The sequence below is a fragment of the Homo sapiens genome, chromosome 4 (assembly GCF_000001405.40).
Source record: "Homo sapiens chromosome 4, GRCh38.p14 Primary Assembly".
NCBI classification, from domain to species: domain Eukaryota; kingdom Metazoa; phylum Chordata; class Mammalia; order Primates; family Hominidae; genus Homo; species Homo sapiens.
Genome location: NC_000004.12, coordinates 37,111,582 through 37,136,079, shown reverse-complemented (window position 1 = coordinate 37,136,079; position 24,498 = coordinate 37,111,582). Strand labels below are relative to the sequence as shown.

Here is a 24,498-nt window from a genome sequence, read left to right as displayed (position 1 = left end):
TTTGAGACAAAGAGTCTCCCTCTGTTGCCCAGGCTGGAGTAGAGTGGTGCAATCTCAGCTCACCGCAACCTCCACCTCCTGTATTCAAGCAATTCTCGTGCCTCAGCCTCCCGAGTAGCTGGGATTACAGGTGCGTGCCACTATGCCCAGATAATTTTTATATTTTTAGTAGAGATGGGGTTTCACCATGTTGGCCAGGCTGATCTCGAACTCCTGACCTCAGCCTCCCAAACTGCTGAGATTACAGGCCTGAGTCACCATGCCCAGCCTAGGAGTCCAGAGATGTGAGAGATCAATGCAGGCTGCAGGAATCAGAAAAGCCTCCTGGTAAAGTGTGAGTGAAACCGCTCCTCTTGGTTTCATCATTTCAAAGCCTATAGTAAAACAACGAGTTGGTGTCCTGAAGGCATCCTTTGAATTGCCTGAACTATTATATACATGTATGAAAACTTATTTTTGATCTTTTTCTCAAATTTCTTGCTCCAAAATGACATTTAGAAAATGGAAATAAAAATATTTAGTCCAAAACTATTATTTTGTTAATATCTTAGTGTATTCAGGCTGCTATGACAAAATACCATAAACTGGGTGGCTTATAAACAACAGAAATTTACTTCTCACAGTTTTGGAGGCTGAGAAGTTCAAGATCAAGGTGGCAGCAGATTTAGTTCTGGTAAGAGTCTGCTTCCTGGTTCAGAGACAGCCCTATGTTTGCTGTGTCTTTACATAGACAAGGGGTGAATGAGCTGTCTGGGGTCTCTTTTATAATGGCACTAATCCCATTAATGAGCGTTCACTCTCATAGCCTAATCTCCTCCCAAAGGCCCCATCTCCTAATATCATCCCCTTGGGACTTTGAATTTCAATGTACAAATTTTGGGGAAACACAAACATCCAGATCATAGCAATATCCTAGTTTTGCAAATCAAGAAACTGTTAAGTGACTTGCCCCATGTGACACAGCCAGTGTGCGCAGAGGGAGGCCTTGAACCAAGTCTCAATGGCTGTCAGCACTGTTAGCCCCTGTACTGCTTTTCAATTTTACAGTAAAGAAAACTGTTGCCGGGCCCGATGGCTCATGCCTGTAATCTCAGCACTTTGGGAGGCCGAGGCGAGTGGATCACCTGAGGTCAGGAGTTCAAGACCAGCCTGGCCAACATGGCGAAACCCCATCTCTACCAAATACAAAAATTAGTCTGGCGTGGTGGCACAAGCCTGTACTCCCAGCTACTCCGGAGGCTGAGGTAGGAGAATTGCTTGAAGCCGGGAGGCGGAGGCTGCCAGTGAGCCGAGATCATGCCACTGCACTCCAGCCTGGGCGACAGAGCAAGACTAGGTCTAAAAAAACCAGAAAAACAGGCTGGGCGCGGTGGCTTACGCCTGTAATCCCAGCACTTTGGGAGGCTGAGATGGGCGGATCATAAGGAGATAGAGACCTTCCTGGCTAACACGGTGAAACCCCATCTCTACTAAAAATACAAAAAAATTAGCCGTGCCTGGTGGTGGGCGCCTGTAGTCCCAGCTACTCGGGAGGCTGAGGCAGGAGAATGGCGTGAACCCGGGAGGCGGAGCTTGCAGTGAGCCGAGATCGCACCACTGCACGCCAGCCTGGGCGACAAAGCGAGCCTCCGTCTCAAAAAACAAAAACAAATAAAAAAGAAAAAAAAAAAAAAGAAAAGTGAGGTCCAGAAAGATCAAGTGACTTGCTCAAGTCGTCCCAGTTGTTCAGTGAATAACTATAGCTCTTATACCAGTGCATTGAAATCATTTACCTAATATATGTTTCTCCTATTAAACAGTAAGAAAAGACCTTTCGTTTATGTTGCCATTATTTTAACTTTGTCAGTATCTGGAACAAAGGTTACTCAATAATAACGTGTTGAATCAATAAAAGGAAGTTGGATAACTATAGCTTTTATATCAGTGCATTAAAATCATTTATCTAATATGTTTCTCCTATTAAACAGTAAGAAAAGACCTTTTGTTTATGTTGCTATTATTTTAACTTTGCCAGTGTCTAGAACAAAGGTTACTCAATAATAATGTGTTGAATCAATAAAAGGAACTTGTAATCTATTAGAAGCCTTGAGTCCAATGCAAGAAATGTCAAAACTAAGATCACTACTTTTGAGCTAAATGTTTGGGCAAGTTGAAATTATAAATTTAACTGACTTCTTTTACATTTCAATAAAGTATATCTTCTGTAGCAAGAACTCCATACTCTCTAGGATTTTCTGTGAATGTCACCAATAACTTTATATTTAATTATAGAGTGATTTAATAACAAGAAAAGTCAGGGTTGCTACAGAGAGAGTTGCTACTTGGTTTAAATAAAAACCAAGTTGATTGCAAAATTACGGAAACTTTGATATATCTTGGAAGACATTTTTAGGAGTCAAAATAACTGGAAAATTTTGAATACTTATTTGTGAGTGTTTTCTAATGGGCTCACAATGGACCAGGGTCATTATTATAATGTGTCTGGATTTGTTTCTGAAATGTCAAGCCCTGAGAATCAAAGATGAGTGCTTCTTGGTGTTCTCAGGACATTGGTCATCTCTAATCTACCTCTCTCATGGGCTGCTGTAAATCAACTTTTCTAAAGGGGCTTCAGACAACAATACTTTATGATCATTATTCTACAAGTAGCAGAGGGCAGAAAGATGATCGTGAGTGAAGGTGACAACTTGGCTGTGGCCAGGGTGACCACAATTACAGGCCTGATGTCTGGTATTTTGGCTTACATGAATTTTGTCTTGGAGAAATTCTTAGTCTTCAAAGGGAACCTTATTAGGAAAATGGAAGTGAGTTTCCCAAGAAGTAAGTGTCCTGTCTAAATGACAGTGTCCATGGAGATACGGCAAACTCTGGATTTTTTGTATCCAAGGAAGTCTATTTAGGATGGATGTGAGAATGAGTCATCCCTGGTTAGCAATGATTCTTGTAGTCAGTTGGTGAACACCCTTCTTTGTTGAAGCTGTATCAGCAAGTGGGGTGGAAGGATCTGTCAAAAATAAAATCAGATCAAATTAGAAAATTTAACATTTTAAGTTCATTGTGCATACAAAACAACAGTTTATAAACCAGAAGACTTTGAACAGAAAATGGAAAGAAACTCACTTCACAGCAATTACAGCACAGCTTATAAAGCATAAAAGAGAAAATATTTTGACCTTTTTCATGATTGTCTGTTATGCATTAATATTCTTTTGAAGACAAGTAGAGTTTTTAAGCTGATTTATGTATGACTGGTTGGTTTAATTTTGCTGAATCATGCTAACAGGGTTGTAAAGCCTACATTTTTTGTTTCATTTGTAATTAGAGCTAGTGTTTCAGGGAAATCAGGATGACTTAAATTTTGACTATGTTGGTATAAGTGGCTGGCTTTGGGGTATATCTAAAGTGTGGCTTCTCTTTTTATTTTTGTTTAAAAGATTGCATTCAGTCTTTTACAGAGCACCTAGCAGGAGCAGGCCAGTGGCAGGTTTCCATTCTCAGAGGTCACATGGGTATGGATCAGGAACTGTGATTGACATCCACCATGTAGACTGAGGAAAAAACCCTGGTGGTGGTTGGAGGGAATACCATCCTTCAGTGAGAAACAGGAAAGAGTGTACCAAGGGGCTGTAATTAAAGTCAGGCTCCTTTCTCAAACCCCTGGTTAGAAATAAAAATCTCACTTAGAGCAAATAAACTTGACTCAGCCCCCAGACTCATTGGCTTTTGAATGACATTCATATCTTCCTCCTTTGCTTTTTATCTGTAGCACATTGTCGAGATTACAAAGCTTTCTACATGGTCTGAAGCAGCATATCTGCCCCGTGACTAGTTATTTGTTTCATAAAATCCACAGCTTCTTCAAATGGAATATTGAAAATAACTATCTTGTCTGGCATAAATTCTGAGATACCTTATCATTTGGCTTGCTGTTTGGGCAGCAATGTGCTGCCAGGGAACAAGATGAACTAACTACAGAGCTGTATGTCTAGAATTCCTCAAGGTGCATGATGTAGTGAAAGAAGCATAATTTTAGCTTTATGTAGACAAAGGTTCAAATTCTTGCTTGTCTGCTTGCTGAATGTGTGCCACACTGCTAGCCCTTACTATCCATATCCCAACACAGGCATTCACATTTTTCAATCTTATTATGACTTTAATATTTAATGTTATCTTATAGAATGGTTTCAAATTATAACTCCAATAAAATGTTATTTTAAGAAGGAATAATGTTTGACAAAAATTGTGTAAAAGCCAATCCAACCATTTTCTACCCACCCTCACTACTGTATCTCTCAGCTAACCAATGATAAACACTTGCTGTATATGCTTTCTTACCTACCTCCTTGCTCATGCAAAGATGCGTATACACACATACTCACACTCATACACACACACACACACACAGAGAAACATCTAGACACTCATAGGGGGTTTTTTGTGTGTACTGTTAGCTAAATAGAGTCATGCTTTGCAATATGATTTTTCTTCTTTCCTCTTAATGCAGCATGGCATCTGTACCAGTTAATATAGATCTAAGTTTATTTTTAAATTCTAATTCTGTCATGCATGCATATTCACACAGATACATGATGTCAAACGGATTATTTCATTCTTACTTTAAAAATATTTTCTTGCCTTACATTTCTGTAATAGTCATTATAATCATATTAACACACTCATACCTGCCCCAGACCCTTCCAGCCTCGTCTCTACCTCTGACCTTCTGAATACAGAGAGCCCCTTGGTTCAGGATCTTTGCCCTTGGGCTCACATGAGTTCTGCCACTAACAAGTCACGTCAGCCCCCTTTGTGTGGGTTTTGAGAGTCCAAGGTATTTTCTTCAAAGCACCTCCCTTCAAGTAGTCCCTGATAATTATAAACGATTTCATTTTTCATATTTAATTCCCCACATGCCAGTTTCTAATTGTATGTGCAAGGTTATTTTTAAAAATTTTTCTAAGCCCTTGATTGAAGGTATTTAAAGAACTTTCTAGGGACTGTGTAAACTCAGGGCAAAATCAACCGATGGAGCCTTTCATTCTAAGTTCCACGTTCGTATCTAGTCTAGGTCAAGAATGAGTGACAGCAACAACTTTAGCACCCCTTGGGAGAGGAACTAATTCCATTTCTGGACCTATTCAATTTGATCTCATCTTTTGAGACTTTTAGGAAGGAGTCTCAGAGAGATTTAAAGCTGCTTGGGAGCCACCATGGCCTTGTGGAATGAGACCATGTCTCAGAGTCAGAGCCATCTAGAGTTTTGTCCTGGCACTACCTCAGCCCCTGTAACCTGAGAGAGGATTCTTCACCTCTATTTGACTTAGTTTCCTCATCTATAAAATTGGGATAATAGTATGGGCCCTGAAGGAATTGTGAGGATTAAATGAGTCAGTGAGTACGTGGCACATGTCACAGACTGGGAGCTTGTCAGACACATGCACACACACGCACAGCACTCACAGTGTGCCAAGCACTGTTTAAAACACTTTTCAATTCTTAAAATCTTCACTATTCATAATAACTTGTGAAGAGGAAAATATTACTCTCCCCATTTTACATATGAAAAAAAATGAGGCTCAGAACAGTGATGTGACTTAATGTCATCAATAAGTGGTAGATCTGTTTCAAGTTCAGGCAGCCTGGTTCCAGAGTCCACGCTCTTAACTGTTACTATGCTGCCTTCAGTGGTAGCTGTTTTGTAATCTAGTTTTAAAATGTTGACTACAATAACTAAATTGCAAGATGTGTGTGTGTCCATTGCTTCTGAAGGAAGTTTTACTACAGTCACTTTCAAATAGGAAATAAAATGAACTTTATTTATTAAGCCTTTAATGACAATAAAATAGAGTCACAGCATTTAAAACAGGTTACTTAAGGATGATTTAAGAAGTCTAAATTTCTCCAAACTATTCCATAACTGCAGTATATCTTTCCTTGAAATTGAGTGTTTGGATATACTGATTCGTAAATCGAAGAAACTCTTTTTTACTTGGTACCCAGCACTTACACTGACACTTTAAAGAAACACAGCATCTCATTATAGAGTTTCTCTAGGATTTACTCAGAGAAATATGCCAAAAAACAAGACATCACACCAATAAGCAATCATTAAGTTTCCACAGTAAATTCATCATGCTAATCTAAATCAGTGATTCTAATAAGTGTGGGAAATCCTATATCCAGGTGGAACAGTTAATTTATTTTTAAATGCAAGGACTTTGCTGAGTCTTTGATATATTAATGTGCTGTGAGTCTCTTAGAGAGCGATATCGTATGCCATGGGTCCTTAATTTGTTGGCTGTGGTACCTGTGGTGGCCTCCTAATGTGTAAGCTTGGCTAGGTTGAGCTACATTTCCCATAATTCCCTTCTGTGAATGTTTTCAGTTAGCGTAGCCAAGAGAGACATTCTTGTGGAAGACTTGGGAGGTGGAAATGAAGCGGTAGCCATTCTGTAACTCTCCCACGATGTTGCTTACCTGCTGGCTCACCTTGTTGATGTGGGCCAGCAGCTGAGTCTGCAACCGCTCCACCTTTCCCTGGTCCCGCCTTTAGCTTCTCCAGCTCTTGGGCCAGGTGTGCATTCAGCTCTATGAGGAAGAGCATCAGGTCAACAATGTCAGAGGCAGTAAGAACTAACTTGGGTTCCAGCTGTGCTCATGAATTTAACTGATCTTTGTTCTCCTCCATGTTATTTCCTTTCTGATTGCCTGTCCTGTGAACTTCAAGCCCCAGAGCAGACATAACAACAACAACTTTAGAGAGATAAAAATAGTGCTTAAAAGTTCCCACAATTATGTAAGATAAAATCCTTTGGAATATATAACATATGGTATATAATATACAACATATATTATATATAACCTATTCTCTTTCATGTCTGCATAATTAGACAGGACCTTGGGCTTTATGTTCGGATATAGAGAAACGGATGTGGTAACGTGAAGTCAGCTAAACAGTATTTATTTGCCAAGTTTCATTAAGGCCTTTTCCTCTGCTGAAGCACTGTACTTTTATTGGCAAAATATAATACAATTACCAGAGACAAGTGTAACCAATAAATCTCAGCACTATTTGCTGAAAAGAGTATGTTAATTGCCTTTGCAGTTTTGTCAAAGTTGAGTTGGCTATATATGTATGAGTCTATTTCTGGGTTCTTTATTCTGTGCCATTGGCCTGCATGCCTCTACTTTCACTAATGCCTTGATTACTGTATCTTTATATTATGTCTTGAAATTGTATAGCATAATTCTTTCAAATTTGTTTTTGTTTTTCAAAGTTGTTTTATATATTCTAAGTCTCATGCATTTTTGTATAAATTTAGAATCAGCCTGTCAATTAAAATAAGGGTGCCTATTGAAATTTTGATTGTAATTGTGTTGAATCAATAGATCATTTTAGGAAGAATTGACATCTTAATACTGTGCTGGCTGATCTATGAACATGATATAGTTCTCAATATAGTTAGGAATTCTTTAATTTCTCTCAGCTATATGTATAATTTCAGTGTGTAGGTCTTACGTCTCTTTTGTCAGGTTTATCTGTAAGCGTTTCATTATTTTTAATGCTATTTTAAATGGTATATTTTGTTGATTTTGATTTCTGATTTTTCATTACTGATATTAAAAATAAAGTTTGTACATATTGATCTGATAATTTACAGCCTTATTAAAAATTACTTCTTAGTTTTAATAGCTTTTTATAGATCTTATTGTGTTTTCTACATAGACAATTACATCATGCACAAATAAACCTTTACTTTGTCTTTTCCAATCTGGTTGGCATTTATATTTTACTTTTCTTACCTTATGGTAATGGATAGAGCCTTCAGTATAGTGTTGAATGGAAGTCATGAAAGTGAATATTTGGTTTTGCTCCTGATCGTAGGACAGTATTCAGTTTTTCACCATTAAGTATGGTATCAGCTGTAGGTTTTATTATAAGTGCCCTTTATCAGGTTGATATAGTACTCTACTATTTCTAGTTTTCTGAGAGCTTTTATCAGGAGCAGATGGTGGATTTTGTGAAATGCTTTTTCTCCATCTATTAAGGCAATCATAAAGGGTGGTTGTTTTGTCTCTGTGAGTTACATTGATTGGGCTTTGAATGTTAAATGAATTTAGTATTACTGGGACAAACCTCATGTGGTCATGATGTATTATCCTCTTTATATATTACTGGATTCAGTTTGCTAAACTTTGTTAACATTTTTTTTTCATCCACGTTTGTAGGGACGTTGGTCTGTGGTTTTCTTGTAATGTCTTTATCTACTTTGGTATCAGAATAATGGGGACCTCAGAATGAGTTGGGAAATATTCTTTCCTCTTGAAATTTTTGGAAACATCTGTGTATAATTTATATTATTTCTTACCTAAATGTTTGGTAGATGCCCAGTGAGGGCATCTGGGCCTGGAGTTTTCTTTGTAACAAGTATTTTAAATGCAAATTGAATATCTTTAATAGATATATGACTAATCAGGCTATGCAATTATTTTTTATTACACTTTTGTCATTTTTGTCTTTCACGAAATATGTCCATTTCATCTATATTGTACAATTTATTGGCTTAAAGTTCCCCATAATATTCTATTACTGTCTTTTTAATATACATAGAATCTGTATTGATGTTACTTCTTTCATTCATGAAATTGGTAATTTCTGTATTATTTCTTTTTATCTTTGCCAGTCTGGTTAGTGTTTTATTACTTTTAATGATTATAATGACGGTAGAACTATTTTTTTATTCATTTCTCTATTTTTAAAATTTCACTGATTTATGATCTAATCTTTATTTTCTGTCTTCTGCTTACTTTAGGTTTAATTTGCTCATTTTTCTAGTTTCTAAGCTGAGGTCACTGATTTGAGAGATTTCTTTTTTCCCCCTAATTCAAGTGTCCAGTGCCCTGAATACTGCATTAGCAGCATCCCCAAATTTGGATATTTGACATTTATATTTTTATTCAGTTCAAAATACTTTCTAATTTTCCTCATAATTGCCTCTTTGAGTCACTATGCTATTTAGAAGTGTAATATTTAGTTTCCAAATATTGGGGGGAGATTTTCCAGATATCTTTTTGTTATTGATCTCTAATTTAATTCCATTGTGATAAAAGAACATACCTTGTGTGAATTGAATCATTTGAAACTTACCAAGACTTAATTGATGGTCTAAATTATGATCTAAATTGGTAAATGTTCTGTGTGCACTTGGAAGTGTATCCTGCTATTGTTAAATGGAGTGCATTATAAATGGCATTAAGGACTAGTTGGTGGATCTTTAGTCATTTTTCTAATTGTTCTACTTTTCAGTGAAGATATTGAAAAATCTGATTGTAATGGTATAAATGGTATTTTTGCCTCATATATTTGGAAGTTTGTTTATTTTGTGCCTAGATGTTTAGGATTGTTATGTCACCTGGGTTGACCCCTTTATCGTTATGAAATGACTTTCTTTACACCTGGTCACATTCTTTATCCTAAAATCTATTCTTTCAGGTATTAATAGAGCCTGCCTAGCTTTCTTTTGACTAGTGTTAATGTATTATATACTTCCCACTTTTTAACTTTTAACCTATTGTTGTCTTTATGTACAAGGTGGAGTCTTGTAGACAACATCCAATTGGGCCTTGCTTTATGTCTAATCTGACTGGCTCTGCCTCTCAATGAATATGTTTAGATCAGAGGTCAGCAAACAACAGCTTAACAGCTTACCACATATTTTTGTAAATAAAATTTGATTGAAACACAGTCATGGTCATCATGCTCATTTTTTAATGTAATGTTTACAGCTGGTTTCACTCTCCAATGGCTCAGTTGAGTGGTTATGACAGATACCATATGGCCTCAAAGCCTAAAATATTGACTGTCTGGTCCTATAAAGAAAAAGTTTGTCAATCCATGGTTAACATCATCTACATTTGATGTAATTATTGATAAAGTCATGTTAACACCTACTAATTTGCTATTTGTTTTCTATTTGTCTCATCTGTTTTTCCCTTTTCCTTTTGTTCCTGATTACTTTTGAATAAATTGACTAGATTTGTGATTCCATTTTGTCTGCTTTGGTTTTCTAGCTATAACAATTTTTTGTGTTATTTTCATGCTTCTGTTTAGCGTTTATAGTATTCATCTTAATGTATCATACTCTCTCTTCAAATATGTCACTTCACATATTGTATAAGAACCTTACAAGAAAATATTTCCCTTTATCTTCTCAACTCCAGGCCTTGTGCTATTGTTAGCATGTATTTTACTTGCATATATTTTATATACCTTAAAATATTGTGCTATGGTCTTTGCATTAAACACATAGTTGTCTTGTAAATAGATTTAAATAAGAAATTTTTTATAGTTTCCAACAGAATTTAATAGTTACCATTTCTTGTGCTCTTCGTTTATTTGTGTAGATTTATATTTTCATTTGGTATCATTTTCCTTCTGCCTTAGAGATTTTCTTTTTATTTATTTATTTATTTTTATTTTTATTTTTTTTATTATACTTTAAGTTCTAGGGTACATGTGCAGAAGGGTGGGTTTCATTTTAAAAGTGGTGTAGCATTGTTGGAATAACCACACTTAATATAATTAATAACTTACCTCGAAAATTTTAGGATAATACAATTTTTTCACAATTATAAATAACACTGAAAAAATTTTTTTTCTATAAAATCTTTGACTGTATTTTTCCCAATAAGGTAGATTCTTAAATGTGTAATTCTAACTATAGATAAAGACATCTTTTAAAGCTTTTGATAGTTTGTGCTAAATTGTCTCTCTGAGCTTGGCTTGGCTGATCTTGGCTAGGCTTGCTCACATTTCTGGAGGTGAATTAGCTGTGGGCTTAGGTAGAATGGCCTTGGCTTGGGTGACTGGGACACCAGCTCTGGTTGACGTGTCTGTCATCCTCTAGCAGGTTAGCTGGGTTTGTTCTCCCTGGTAAAGGCTGAGGTAAAAGGGAGCAAGCAGCAACGTGCAAATATTTTATTTACTTCTGTTTCCATCACATCTGCTGACACTTCATTATGCAAACTGTCACATGACTTGGCGTGAATTCACATAGACACTAAAAGGTTAGATGGCAAAAGCTCGGTTACAGTGAGGCTTAAAAAATCAGGGCTATTTATTCAGTCAATCTATCTTATTCTGTGAGGCATATTAAGTGCTCAGTGAAAGATACCATTTTACCTTTTTCTTTTTAGAGTATATTACTCTTAGAATGCATTAATATCCAGTGATATATTTTAGTCCCAGTAGCTTAGTTCCATAAACACTCACATTTATGAAGGAATTTATTTTCTTTCTCCAAGGAATTACTCAATGCATGACTGTTGTATTAAGTAACACTGTATTCATGCTACTGTACAGGGCACGTGAGACAAAAGACTACAAACACATGGTTGTGAAACTATTAGAATAATTCTAAATTAATTCCATTTCTTTGACTTTTTTTTTTTTTTTTTTTTTTTTTTGAGACAGAGTCTAACTCTGTCACGAGGCTGGAGTGCAGTGGCACGATCTCGGCTCACTGCAATCTCCGCCTCCCGGGTTCAAGCAATTCTCCTGCCTCAGCCTCCTGAGTAGCTGGGACTACAGGCACGTGCCACCACACTTGGCTAATTTTTGTATTTTTAGCAGAGACAGGGTTTCACCATGTTGGCCAGGATGGTCTCGATCTCCTGACCTCATGATCTGCCCACCTTGGCCTCCCGAAGTGCTGGGATTACAGGCGTGAGCCACCGCACCTGGTCAAGTATTATTTTAATACCAATCTATGAAATGCCTTTTCCCTTGCTTATCTAACTTTTATTTTCTTAACTGCCCAGCTCACATTCCAACTTATACCTGAAACATTCTTGAATCTATAATAATCTTGCTTTTGCTAATATAGTATCTCTAGAAGGAACCGGGGGTAGAACCCCAGGTTTTACCATACTAGATTCTATAAAAACTAGTTCATGTGAGTAATTAACAAAAATTTTGAGAAAAGTTCTCTGGTCACAAAAAGAAGCTGATAAAATTCTTGGTTAAAAAAGTTGAATTTTTATTTTTAATGCCCCATACAACAGTTTAAATTGCGTATCTACAAAGGGGAGGGGAACAATTATTTGAAGCATTTCCCCAATTTATTAATCTAAGTAAAAAGTTTCTTTTTTTAACTATTTCATAAGCTAGCATTTTAAGAATTTCACTTTGGGATGCATTAATACATAGTATGCAATATGGCAATTTAATATGTGCTTCCTGGTCATTTCAAATGTACTTTATTTTCATTTGCTTATGCCTAGTTTCTTCAATAATAATATCATGATGTACACCGGGGTTGGAGATTACAAAAAGGATTTTCATAAATTATTTAATTTGATCTTTACAACAATATCTGAGCAGCCTGAGCTGGTGATATTTAAGAAGTGACCCGAAGGCCTCACTCAACTTTTTAACTGATATTGACTGAATAATGATGTGATTCTTATCAGTATGGTAGGCTCTGGGGATACACTGGTGTCCAAGAGAACAGTTCATGGCAGGGAATCATTCAGGCAGGGACATATGTAAAAATAATGCAAAGAATGAAGTCTTTAGGAGATAGATGGTGGTGATGGTTGCATTGCAGTTCATAATGCTTCAGAACTGTACATTTAAAGATGGTTAAAATAGTGAATTTTATATTATATATATTATACCACAATAAAAAATAATTAAACAAACAGAAAGCAGATGAAGAATATGGTAAAATGATAATAAGTATTAAGACTAGGTGGTAAATGTTTGGAGCTCTATATAATATTCTCTACTTAAATATTTTTGACTTTTTATAATAAAGTTAAAATCAATGTAAGAAGAAACACTCTTCAATCTAACAGCAATGGACAGCTATCGGATGATTTTAAAGAGAGCTACGTGATAAGATTTTATCTTTTAATGGCAAAAACCACAATTACTTTTGCACCAACCTAATACAATCACTGCTGGATGCTTCATGGAGAAATAAATGATTGGGAATGAAAAGGAGATTTGAGATATCTAGGTAGAAGAATGTTTTTTTGTTCTAGGGTGATATCAGTAGTCATGGGGAAAAGTGGATATATTGAAACATATTTAGGATGAAGAATCATTAGACTTGGTGATTGGATACGTGACATTTCTGACATAAGCTATGGAGTAGGTGGTGGAGGAGGTAAGAAGATGAGAAATCCCATAAGTGTCGTGTCAGGGAAACTAAAAGAAAAGATGGCCAATGTTGAATGCTGCAAAGAGCTTCAAGTAAAATGATTTCTGACATGAGAAATATAGAAATTATTTGTAACCTTAGCAAGAGGATTTTTGGTTTAGTGAGTGGAAACTAGCAAGTAGTAGGTTGAATAGTGAATAGAAAGGGAAGAAATTTATTCAAGAGGTATGTATGATTCTGACCGGTGGGGTTGTGAAAGACATTGAGCGAGTTGTGGAATGGAGCTTTTGTTTTGTTTTATTTTAGGATTGGACAAATTTGGACATCTTTGAATGCTTATAGGAAAGATCCAGTAGATAAGAAGTGGTTGAGCCATAGTGGGAAGGAATGGGCTCTAAGCCAGGGGTCGGCATACTTTTTCCTTAAAGCGTCAGATAAGTAAATATCTTAAACTCAGCTGTCATTTCAGTGTCTGTCCCCATGACTCAACTCTGACATAGAGCAGCCATAGACAGTATGTGAAGGAACCAGTATAACTATGTTCCAGTAAAACTTTATTTGTAGATAATGAACTTTGAATTTCATATCATTTTTACGTGTCAAAAAATATTCTTCTTTTGAATTTTCTTCAAGTATTTAGAGATATCAAAATCATTCTTAGCTCTTGGGTCATGCAAAAACAGGTGGGATTTGGTCCCTGGATCATAGTTTGCCAACTCCTGCTCTAGAGCACAAGTGAAGAGGTGGACTTTTCCCCAAGGGAAGCATAATATAAAAGATGGGAAGAAGGAAAGTTAGGTGAAGATGGATTTGTTGGTATGGGGTTGGACAGTTAAGGGAATTTCTACCTGGTGACTTCTATTTTTCCTGTGAAAATATAATTAGAATACAGGTAATAGTAACTTTTCTTGATTGCAAGTATTATTTTGGAAGATTTACATATACTGACTCATTTACTATTTATACTAACCTTATGAGAGAGGAGCTACTATTGTCTCTATTTTACCAATAAGACACAGAGGCACAGAGCTGTTAAATGTATGCCTTCACATTATCTTACTTGAAACTATAAGGCTACAGTAACCAAAATAACATGGTACTGGTACAAACACACACACATAGACCAGTGGAACAGAGTAGAGGACCTAGAAATAAAGCTGCACACCTATTGCCATCTAATCTCCAACAAATCCAACAAAAATAAGTAATGGGAAAAGGACTCCCTATTCAGTAAATAGTGCTGGGATAGCTGGCTAGTGGTATGCAGAAGAATGGTATACCTTTCACCATATACCAAAATTAACTCAAGATGGATTAAAGATTTAAATGTAAGGCCTTAAATTATAAGAATCCTAGAAGAAAACCTAGGAAACACCATTCTGCACCTGGGCCTTGGGAAATAATGTATGACCAAGTCCTCAAAAGCAATTGCAACAAAACCAAAAACTGACAAATGAGAGCTAATTAAGCCAAAGCGCTTCAACACAGCAAAAAGAAGCTATCAACAGAGTAAACAGACAACCTAAAGAATGAGAGAAAGTATTTGCAAACTATGCATTCAAAGAAGTTCTAATATCCAGAATCTATAATAAATGTAATTCAACAAGCAAAAAAAAAAGGCAGACAAAAGCATGGACACTCTTCAAAAGAAGACATATGAACAACAAATATATGAAAAATGCTCAACATCACTAATCATCAGAGAAATGCAAATCCAAATCACAATGAGATGCTGTCTCACACCAGTCAAAATGTATATTACTAAAAAGTCAAAAAATAATAGATGCTGGTGAGTAAGACCGTGGAGAACAGGGAATGCTTATACATTGTTGGTGGGGATGTAAATTAGTACAGCCACTGTGGAAAGCAGTTTGGAGATTTCTCAAAGAACTTGAAACTATCATTTGACCCAGAAATTCCATTACTGGGTATATATGTCCAAAAGAAAATAAATCCTTCTACCAAAAAGACACATGCACTTGTGTGTATCACAGCACTATTCACAATAGCAAAGACATGGAATCAACCTAGGTGCCCATTAACAGTGGATTGGATTAAAAAATTGTTGGTTCACATACACCATGGAATACTATGCAGTCATATAAAAGAACAAAATCATTTCCTTTGCAGCAACATGGATGCAACTGGAGGCCATTCTCCTAAGCAAATTAGTGCAGGGACAGAAAACCAAATACTACATGTTCTTGCTTATAAGTGGGAGCTAAACACTGAATACCCATGGACACAGAGATGGCAACAATAGACACTGGGAACTACTACAAGGGAGGCAGGGAGCAGGCACAAGTGTTGAAAACTAATTATTGAGTACTATGTTCACTACCTGGATGACGGGATTAATCACATCCCAAGCCTCAGCGTCATGCTATATACCCATATAACAAACATGCACATGTACTTCCTGAATCTAAAATAAAAGTTGAAATTATATATATATAAACTATGCCTGAAGTTACATTTATAAAAGTTGCCAGAGCCTTAATAAAACCCAAATAATTTGCTTCTGGAGCTCACGGTCTTACCTACAAGCATATTTCACTAAGGCCATCCACTGATAGGGAAGGGGACATGGGTGGGGTGGTTCTCCTAAGGAGTATGAAGGAAGGGCAGAATGATTGGAACAATGTATTACGATCATAAGGGATGTCTAGAGCTCAGCTGAGACCTGTAATGAGAAATTGAAAGTGCTATCAGTCAACCTGGTGATGTGATTTGCTCTTGAGGGTCTCAGCTACTGGAGTGCAGGCACTGAGAAGACAGACTGTTGGGTTTATCTAAGGTTAGGATTTATCAGGTATAACAGGAGGACAAAGTGAAAATGGAGAGTGAGGATGGCTGTAATATTCTATAGAGAAAAAGGCTTTGGGAAATATATTCTGCATATTAAAAAGCTCTGCTATGGCAGTATTTTTCTTACCGGTCTCCTCTGGCAAAGAATTTTGGTGAATAGAGCAGAGCCTTGCAATTTAGCTAAGTTCAATACTCTAAGAATTCGTGTATGTTAAACTGTTAGATGCTAGGCATATTTTGAACTAGGACTTTGCTGTTTATCTATTCTTAATGCCATTAGTTCCAGAGATTTTGTCCAAAAGCAATGCATCAGATTCTTCAGTGCTTTCACTCGGGCCTACATATTTACTCCGCCTCAGTTGCAAGGTTATACTAATGATGACTTTCAGGTTTCTTTTATATCATTTATATCACTTCATAATAAAAAATGTGTATGTTGTAGTATATGAACAGACCCTAAATTTATATCTCAAATTTTATTTTGCAGTCTAAAAAGTTAAAATTTACACCTGAGGACAATCAAAAGCAAAGAGTCAAATATAAAATTATGTACATATCATAATGACCCATCTCAGCAAACTTTTAATAATTAAGACTTGGGTAATTGGATACCTCTAAATAATCTTCGTGGTCAGTTGAAAATTAGCTGACCATCAATGTGCTTTTTAAAACTTGCTTTTATGATGACTCTGATGGACTGAAATTGTGAACTGGATTCTGAATCACAAAATTTTGACTAGATTAGGCAATAATGAGATAAATTATTAGAAGTGATTTTATTGTGAACTAATTAATGCAATGTACAAAACTTGAATCCAAAGGTAATAGAATTAGTTGTTTAAAATCAGAATATTGGGCCCCATTCCAAGTTTACTGAAACAGCATATGCAATTTAAGAAGATCTCCAGTGATTTGTATGGACATTACAATTTAAGAAGTACTTGTCTCTGTCATCATTTTAGTAATTAAGCATTGTAATGAGTTAAAATTTTATCTCATGTAAAGCATGCATTTGTTTTTATGTTTTTGGTCTAGTGATGAGCTGACCACATGTGAGCCCAGATTTTTTTTTAGGTAAAAAGTTAGTTTGAGAGGAAAATGGGAGAAAGGCTTAGGGTCTCATTTTATTTTGGACTTCAGTGACTGCTGGTTGGCAAAAGCATTCATTCACAATTCTAATTCACAATTCGAATACCCATTTTCTCTTGTCCTCCCTATAATTCAATTAAGAAACCCTGATTTGCAAAGGCAATAGTTTCTAGACTCTCAACAGCCCGATATTTGTTGCATAGAAAAAAGAACCCAAAACATACCTACAAAGTTGCCAGGATTCTGGTGGTTCAGGAAATTTTGAAAATCGTCACATGGGGATCTAACTATTGAAATGGCTGATAGTTTTTGTTTTTTTTTTCCAGGACAGGGCAAAACATTGACTCACAGAAATTAATGTGATTAACCTTCAGCCAAGGCATGTTCAAAGCAAAGAGGTGAAGCTGACTCAATTAGTTTTTGGTTCTGGAGCAATGAAGAGTCATGGCATTTGCCCTGTCCAGGCCCTTTGAAATGTGGATCAGCTCAATTGCATAATTGCTGCTTCTGACATTTTTCTTCTGCATGTTTCTTTCTCAAAAGCATAAAATGCCAAGATGAGTGACAGGAAGATAGTGGCTATTCAATGTATGGCAAAGAGAACCAAGCTAAGGTTTTCTTCTTGTAAAATATTTCCATTGAGAGCACTTTTATTTCTTCATCTCTGTGCTTTCTTATTGGAAAAAATGTAATAAATGAGAGGTCAGAGCACCGGAACCGATAACGGAAGGACTCCAAATAGACAGGCAAAGACAGTTTCTATCTCTTCTTACTTGATTTTCCTCTCATCTTTAGGATTTAGGTTGATGCTTTTAGGTAGACAATGCCCTATGAAACAAGACGAAGAATGCTTTATTGCTCAATTACTCTAGGTATTAAAGCCAATTGTCATGATTTTAAATTGATATTAGATATTCAAGAGAATGAATTAAATCTAGGAGTATTTAAACAGTGAGTATAAAAATAAATAGAATGTTCAGCTCACTGACCTGGCAAAGAAATAGTCCACTCTAAAAATAGTATTAAATCATCACTTGTGGACTGTTGCATTCATTATCTCATTTAATCCTCTGGATGACCGCTATAAATGTAAAACTATTATGATTCCCTTCATTCAGACCAGGAAACTGAGACATAGAGACATTAGGCAACTTGCTCAAGGTCACATGGCTTGTCAGTGGCATGGCTGGGATCCACTCCCAATACTCCATCTCTCTCCCCCACAGCTAAGCCACAGGTTACCACAGAATGTGAAGATCTTAATCCATGATTTTTCTATTCTCTTTACTTACACGTGTCACATACTCTCATAAAGCTCTTGATTGCATTATGAAAAGTTTCAAAGTCATGTTCCTCCTAACTACCAAATAAATTTGTGAATGTATTCATAATTACAAGTAGGATTCATTATTTCTCATTCTTAGGCCCATAGGAAAGGTATTGATTTAGAACACAATATTATGCCCTAAGTTAATAAAGTGAATAAAAGCAAAAATTGGCTGTGAAGAGAGTCCTAAAAAGACTTCTAATGTCCTTTAATACTCAAATACTATTAAACCTAGAAAAGCAAACACACAAGCATTCTCTTTAGCGATGCTCTCACTTCTAATTCCTTAGGGTCTTCACACTTTAGTCTTTATCAACTGTCTTTACACAAAGTAATAAATTAACAAATCAGTAAGGTGTTTATGTGGGCTATGACAGTCATATTATTTGCCATATTCTCCTTCTTCCTTCCTGGAAATCTTGCCCCCCAAATTATTTTCTTTATATTCTTTATCTTCAACCTTCTTCTGTTTACATTTAGTCATGCATTAACATTTAAACATGCCAAATGTCTCCTATCTTGGACAACAATGATAATAATGATAAACCACCCATATATTGCTCCAGTTATAGCTCTACTCTCTTATCCTTTGCAGCCAGCACTTTCACAAAGGTTGGTGAAAAGTTACAATTTCTTCTCTTCATTCTCCAACCCACTCCTACTCTTCCCTCTGCTATACCAAATCAGTATTTTCCAAGATCGCCAATGACTTTCTCATCTCTAAATTTACTTGGAAAAAAAATAATTCTCAATCTACTTGAACTCAGAGCAGCATTTAATATGATTGATCACTCACTCCTCTTGAAACCCTTCCCTCCCTTTGTTTCATGAGATACACACACACACTCCTTGTTTTCCCCCATATCTGACTGCACAGTTGTAGTTCCTAGCTCTTCTGCCTGCTGCTTCTCTTTCGGTATTGTGTAGGGATCCATCCTTTTTTCTTTCACTTTACATCTTCTCCTGAGGCAGTCTTATTTACTTTCTTGGCTTCAATTACAGTCTACTCCCCAACACTCTCAATAACATAGCAAGACCATTTATTGAATAATTACAATGTGCCAGGCACCACACTAAACTCTTCATAGGAAGTATCTAATTTATGCCTCATAACAACTCTTACGTACTTAACTCCACCCTGTGCTTTCTGCTAAATCCTTGGATTGCTTATGTAAATGTATGTTAGAAAATTCTCTTGACTCTCTTAAAAGTACCTCAAAGGCACAATATTCAAAATGGCACTCTTCATCTTCTTTATTCTACTCTACTTCTTCCAGCCTTGTTCTTCCAACATTGTTCTCTAAATCAGTTCATGGTACCACCAATCAACAATTGCTCAAGCTAGAAATCCAAGAGTCAAATTTTTTTTGCTCTTTATGCCTGACCACTCTGTCTAATCACTAAATATCACAAATGTTATTTCCAAACTATCTTTCTAGTATGCTGCTTCTCTTCATTTTTACTACCTTCAATCTACTCCATGGTTTCTCAACCTTAGCACCATTGGCATTTTGGATCAGAGAATTCTTTGTTGTGGTAGGCTGTCATATGCATCATAGAATGTTTAGCACCATCACTGCCCTCTATCCACTAGATGCCAATAGCAACCTTCCCGCCCTCCCCCTAGAATTACGACAATCAGAAATGTCTGCAAACGTTACCAGATATCCACTGGGAAGCAATACTGCTCCCAGGTGAGAACCACTGCTTTAGTCCCAGCCAATATCATCTCTCTCACTCATTAATGCAACAGACGTGGTTTCTTGTAAATGATGCAAAATGCAAACCTAATTATGTCACCACCTTTTTAAAAAAAAAAAAAACCTTATTTAACTTATCCTTGCCTTTATAATAAAATCAAAAATCCTTAAAAACATTTCCAAGTTTTGACCCTTACTTCATTTTTTTTGACCCCTCTTCATTTTTTTTTTTTTTTGGCGGGGGGGTCATATTAGATTTCCTTATATTGGCATTTCCTCAAAATGCCAATTTTTTAATCCTCAGTTTCACACAGCTCTTACTGTTGCTTGGAATGTTTTCACCCACCCCTCCCTCTTTAGCTAGTCAATTGCCCGTCATCCTTCAGGTATCAGCTGACACGGCGCTGTCTCAAAGAGATCCCCACTAACCAGCAACCATCTCTCCCTCTGACTGGGATAATGATCTATGCTACCCAAACTACATGCTTTCATAGCACATTGTATTTTCCTTTTCATATTTTTTGGTGTAATTACCTAGTCAATGATTCTCTTTCATGTCAATCTAAAATCTATGATGATGGTTAGTTACCATGTCTATTTCATTACTCTGTTATGTACTTAGTACCTGCTACAATGCTGAACACATAGTACAGACTCAATTCATATGTGTTGGATGAATTCTTGGAAGAATCAATTGGAAGGAAGCAGTGGTATCTTGTAGACTACCAGGACAGGAAACAGCGAAGTCTCATTAGCTGCTAGAAGTGGGAACTAGAAAGTCAGCGACCAAGCTTACATTCTCTATTTGCTGGGGGCAAAACGGCCTCCTGTCTTTGTCTTTCTGACTCATTTGCTTTATTTGCTTCTCTCTGCACTTCACTGTCTTGTCTTACCTGTGCCAACTCACCCCTGACTCCACATGACCTTCAGATTGGCTTGTCTAATGCCAAGTAACACCGCTACTAAGTCATAAATTTTCTAAGTGAGAAAGGAAAGTTAGTGGACAATTCAGCAACCCCTTATCCTGAAATTAATGAGGAAGAAGATAGTGAAAGGGATGTCTTTGTTTCTATGATTATTCTTTTGGTTTTCCAGAAGACAGTAGAAGGAATTGTGACACTCAAATGAAATGTAGGATCATTTCTATTTTTAAGCTCCCTTTAGTGATCACTCATATCAGAAGCATGCCTGGTAGGAATGTGCGTGGAATAGCCTTGCATATCACAGCAATGAGATGGAAACAATTCAGATAAAAAGTAGACCTACATCTTGGAGGCTTTTCCTTTCCAGAGCACCTCCTTTGCTTCTTAGGCCTTCTTTTGGAAGAGCATCAGTGCTTGGCTCCAAGAAAACTAAGCCAAAATCTGTCACGGTCTCTGAATGCTGACAGGGCCACTAAGGAACATGGAAGCCAGTCAACATGGATCAACCTATTTTCTTGGTAAGTGGATATCAAAGAAAATAACTTGGTTTGTTTGATGATCCCACATCAATAAGGTTTTATTTATTTTTTAAATGGAATTAGAAACGGTTTCTGAAAATGTTTTTATTTTACTGCAAAAGATTGGTAAGAGATGCAGGAAACTGTTGTCATTGAAGAGCATGTGTGGTGGAGATACGTATATGCTGAGACACAGAGAGGGAAAAATGGGTCAGTTGTGTAGGGGGCACCTGGGCTTTGAAAGCACACTTAGCCAATTGTCCCTAAATCCCCAAAGTGAGACACATCTTACATTTCGGAACAACTGAAATCAGACTTCTTTTTCATGAACATAGATAAACACTCAAAAATGTGAGATATCAGGTGCCAGAGGCTGTCACTTGGAGCAATGCTGATTTATATTGGAAAGCTAAGCCAAGGGAAACCCATAATTTTTTAAGGAAAAGATTTTGCAATCGTCTTTAAATTTTCAGATGCTAATTCTTATCTTATTTCTATAACTACCCGCTCTAGAGCATGTTTAATGAAAATAAGAGATGATGGCTGTCATATCTTCAGTGAGCTAAATTTTATCTGCACTGAAAATCATTGTGAAATAATCTCTAATTATAAAGCTGGGAAACAGAACATTTCAGCACATGTGCATTGAAGGAGTGAGGCCCCAGTTCTTACCACTAGAGCTGTCTTGAAAATTACTCACGTCTGCTAAAAGGGGGAAAGACTGAGCTTCTTCATTAGTGTTTTTTTAAAAAAATCTAAATATTTAGCAACCATTCTGAAGTTTGGCCTAAAGACCTATTTTTCTAAGTTAGTGATTAAAGACATCTTATGATGCATGAAAATGTCTCTGATTTTGTAATATTGAGTTTAGAAATTATGTAACATACCATAAATAATTCTGTAACTGCTCAATGGAGGCCGTGTGCCAGGTATCATGCTAAGTGCCTCACATATTATCTGCCTTATGTTTACTTCCCACCCAAGATAATGATAAAGTGGCAGAATCCAAGTGGGATTATCTCAACTAAGAAATTTCCAAATGCTTCAGAAAACTGTTCAAATCTTGAGGTAACATAACTCTCCAGGAAAAGGGTAGAGAAAAGAACATAAAAATGTTTTATATAGCTGCTTTTAATACTGTAAAGGGTTGGATTTTTATGGACTGAGAATTGTGGTAATATGCATCATTTATCCTTGTACTTCAATAACAATACTTATATTTATTTTAAATCAAATTATTAATATATGCATTCTATATGTTGACACATGCTAAGCTATGTAAGGGCTGTTTCCACATAGATCATAAATTCATTCCTTCAGCATTTCTTCCATTTCGACTCAATAGCCCACTTTCAAAATTGTGATTAAGAAACAACCTATAGCAGAACTAAGAGGATTCTTGAAAACGTCACAAATACTTGTGCTATGTAACAGTTAATAATCCTTCTCTGGATTGCTACTTACATTTTGAAAATTGCATATTTTCCCTCTCTCTCTAAAACTACCAGCGGGAGAAGAATGATTTCTGTGAGCATTAAAGGGCCCATCAAAGCTAAATGGATAAGTCCTTGCCAGAGTCATGTGGCAGTTGTCTCCAGGCTGGCCATCTCTATCCATCTAAACACATATGATGCTGTGCTAGAATTTGTGTTAAACTTAGCATGGTGTAATGATCTTAAATCCACTGTCATATGTTTATTTTGTTTAGAGATATATTTCATGGAAATGTTGCTGTTAGCTTAAAATTCTCAGGTTCACAACAATCAAAAACAAAAACAGGCCGGGCACTGTCATGCCTGTAATCCCAGCACTTTGGGAGGCTGAAGCGGGTAGATCATGAGGTCAGGAGTTCGAGACCAGCCTGACCAACATGGTGAAACCTGTCTTTACTAAAAATACAAAAATTAGCCTGGTGTGGTGGCATGCGCCTGTATTCCCAGCTACTTGGGAGGCTGAGGCAGGAGAATCACTCAAACTGGGGAGGCAGAGGTTGCAGTGAGCCGAGATCATGCCACTGCACTCCAGCCTGGGTGACAGAGCAAGACTTTGTCTCAAAAAACAAACAAACAAACAAATAAAAAACAAAACAAAACAAAAAAAACCAGCCCATAAACTGAAAAGTTTAAACCACCTCAGGTTTCACTAAGTGAAAATACATCTGATCACATTTACTTATTTGTGGGGGAAAATTAACCAAATTGACTTTTCTGAGGCTTTATTAAGTCTTTTTGAATTGTTGTAACAAGCATTAGTGGAACATTGAAGAGTTAAAAAAAAAAAAAAGCCAAAATAGACTTAGTTGATCATTAAAACAAACAAACAAAAAAAAAAAACCTGAAAAATGCTATCTTATTGTTTTGGTTTTCAGACATATCCTAAAGGCTGGATCAGATTGATCCACCAACAATTCAACTGAACTTCTACCTTGGGACAAGGAAACCCATCAATCGATAGCCCCAACATTGTCTGAGATACACTAAGTCACTCCCATTGTATAAGTTTCTTCAAAAGAGAACGTCAAACATCTTTTGTACTAAGAAAGAATAAAATTTCCTGGCTGAAATCTGATAAATTTTGTGCATTTCTTGGTGAAGTAATTTTGCCTCTCTGTACACATCAGTGTCTTCTGGCTCAAAAGGTCACCTATGTCTTACAACTTCTGAACTAGAATGTCTGTTTTATATTAAAATTATATGTTTGCTATTCTGCAGAGGAACTGCAAGGGATAGAAAGTAAATTCATACACCATTCTAATTCAGGCTGCCTTTAAGAGGCTACCTTGACTGACAGCCACACTGCACCATATATTTTCATGAAGCCACTTGATGAGAACTGTGTCTCATCACTCACCTACCATTTCAACTTGTCTTTTCAGCATGAACTTTAGGTCACCCAGCTGTGAACCACATTGAATTATAGGCTCACTTGTTTATTGAAAGTGACAGGATCTTATATATATATTTGTCA

The 24,498-nt window shown here is 36.4% G+C and overlaps 2 long non-coding RNA genes across 3 annotated transcripts in view; one reads left to right on the top strand and one right to left on the bottom strand.

The window, feature by feature from the left end:
• Nucleotides 1-2,230: 2,230 nt before the first annotated feature.
• Nucleotides 2,231-24,498, bottom strand: part of LOC101928721 (uncharacterized) — a 60,301-nt gene continuing 38,033 nt past the window's right edge. For both annotated transcript variants that reach the window (NR_188351.1, NR_188349.1), the window contains exons 4-5: nt 6,478-6,588; nt 2,231-3,004 (exon numbers count right to left, since the gene is read on the bottom strand). This is a non-coding gene — a long non-coding RNA (uncharacterized LOC101928721). The remainder of the gene's footprint in view (nt 3,005-6,477; nt 6,589-24,498) is intronic.
• LOC105374402 (uncharacterized) lies at nt 6,493-24,099 on the top strand. Its single transcript, XR_925198.2, has 3 exons — nt 6,493-6,574; nt 21,402-21,531; nt 23,900-24,099. It is a non-coding gene; the product is annotated as an uncharacterized LOC105374402 (long non-coding RNA).